Below are 2445 nucleotides of genomic sequence, written 5' to 3'. Positions count from 1 at the left end.
TATGTCACAAAGCCCCCATACACAGAGTCTAGACAAGAGTCCCATTACCTGGGTGATCAGTGCAGGAATAAGTCACAATGCCCCCATAGGCAGAGACTACACAAGAGTTACATCACCTGGGTGATCAGTGTAGAGATATGTCACAATGCCCCCATGGACAGATCCTTGACAAACGTCCCATCAGCTGGGTGATCAGTGCAGAGATATGTCACAAAGCCCCTGTAGGCAGAGCCTAGACAAGGGTTACATCACTTTGTTGATCAGTTCAGAGATGTGTCATGCTGAATGTTGCTCCCGGAGCTCTGCGGGCACCTGGAAACATGCAGGGAAGGGTGGAAGACCGGTATGGTGCCTTCGCTCTCCTTGCCAGTTTCCAAACCGGCCACACTGCAGACTCCCCATTTTGCCGCAAACGGGAATCCATCGTCAGACCATCACGCCGGGGGGGCATCTTCTCTCTGGGGTCTCGCTCTGGTCTCCTACGTGGAAACGAACGAGAGCCACAGGCCTGTGTGTGTGAGACTTTCCAGACAACAGCAACACCCACAGGCACTGCCTCCTTCACGGAGAGTGGGCCTGGAACCCTCAAGACTCCCACGGAAGTTCAGTTCCACACTCCCCACCACCCTCCCAGGCCGGTTTCTCCCTGCTGTAGATGCGTGGGAGCCCAGAGAGCGGCTTCCAGTTCCCGCGGGATTGCTAGAGAGGTCCAGAGAGCCAGCCCCCAAAAAGCGCCCCCTTCACCCCTTTCCCCTCGCCCCCTTCCTGTTCGTGCCTCTGTCCCCACCACCACCATCACCACGCCCTCCCCCAAACCCCACCACCCCCCGGCCGCAGGCCTGGACATCCTGGGACCCTTCCGGGGTGGGGCAGGCTGTCCCAGGGCTCACCGCCATTCATGAAGTGGTGGAGCCTGCCTGCCTGTGGGCCTTTATAAGAGCCGCTGGCTGGCTGTCCGGGCAGGCCTCCTGGCTGCACCTGCTGCAGTGCACAGGCCGTTTGAGGTGCACGGGAGCCCACCGGCCTCTCTCTGCCCATGTCCGTCCGTGAAATTCTGCCCAGGGCTCCCCGCGATGGCCCTCCCGACACCTTCGGACAGCACCCTCCCCGCGGAAGTCCGGGGACGGGGACGGCAAAGGTGACTCGTGTGGACCCCGAGCCAAATCGAGGCCCTGCGAGCCTGCTTTGAGCGGATCCCATACCCGTACATCAACAGCAGAGAGCTGCTGGCCCAGGCCATCGGCATTCCGGATCCCAGGGTCCAGATTCGGTTTCAGAATGAGAGGTCACGCAAGATGAGGCAGCAATGGCGGGAATCTGGGCCCTGGCCCGGGAGACGCGGCCCGCAAGAAGGCAGGCGAAAGCAGACCGCCGTCACTGGATCCCAGACTGGCCTTCTCCTCCGAGCCGTTGAGAAGGATCGCTTTCCAGGCATAGCCGCCAGGGAAGAGCTGGCCAGCGAGATGGGCTTCCCGGAGTCCAGAATTCAGAAATCTTTTCAGAATCTCAGGGCCAGGCACCCGGGACAGGCTGGCAGGGCGCCCGCACAGGAGGGTGGCCTGTGCAACACAGCCCCCGGCTTGTGTCACCCTGCTCCCTCATGGGTCGCCTTCGCCCACAACGGCGCGTGGGTAACGGGGCATCCCGCACCCCACGTGCCCTGCTGGCCTGGGGCTCTACCACAGGGGGCTTTCGTGAGCCAGGGAGTGAGGGCCGTCCCCGTGCTCCAGCCCAGCAAGGCTGCCCCGGCACAGGGTATCTCCCAACCTGCCCCAGGATGTGGGGATTTTGCATACGCCACCCCGGCTCCTCCGGAATGGGCGCTCTCCCACCCTCAGGCTCCTCGGTGGCCTCCGCACCCGGGCAAAAGCTGGGAGGACTGGGACCCACAGCACGATGGCCTGCCAGGCCCTTGAGTGGTGGGACATCCTGGGCCTGCTCAAGCAGGGCAACAGGGCCAAGGTGTGTTTGCGCAACCCGCGTCCCAGAGGAGTCCGTGGTGGGGCTGGGCCCGTGGTCCCCAGGTCGCCCGGGCGGCGTGGGAACCCCAAGGCGGGGCAGCTCCACCTTGCCAGCCCGCGCACCCAGAGGCCTCTGCATGGCACTGGCAGATGCAAGGCATACCGGCGCCCTTCCAGGCCCTCCAGGAGCCGGGACCCCCGTCTGCACTCCCCTACGGCCTGCTACTGGATAAGCTCCTGCTGAGCCCGGAGTTTCTGCAGCAGGCACAAACTTTCCTAGAAATGGAGACCCCGGGGGAGCTGGAGGCCTTGGAAGTGGCCGCCTCGCTGAAAGCACCCCCCTCAGTGAGCAAGAATACCAGGCTCTCCTGGAGGAGATTTAGGACACAGGGTTGGGACGGTGTCGGGTCGGGGCAGGGCGGTGGCCTCTTTTTCGCGGGGAACACCTGGCTGGCTATGGAGGGGCGTGTCTTTCCCCCGCCCC

The sequence above is a fragment of the Homo sapiens genome (assembly GCF_000001405.40).
Source record: "Homo sapiens chromosome 14 unlocalized genomic scaffold, GRCh38.p14 Primary Assembly HSCHR14_CTG2_UNLOCALIZED".
Classification (NCBI taxonomy): domain Eukaryota; kingdom Metazoa; phylum Chordata; class Mammalia; order Primates; family Hominidae; genus Homo; species Homo sapiens.
Note: the sequence above shows the minus strand (reverse complement) of the source record.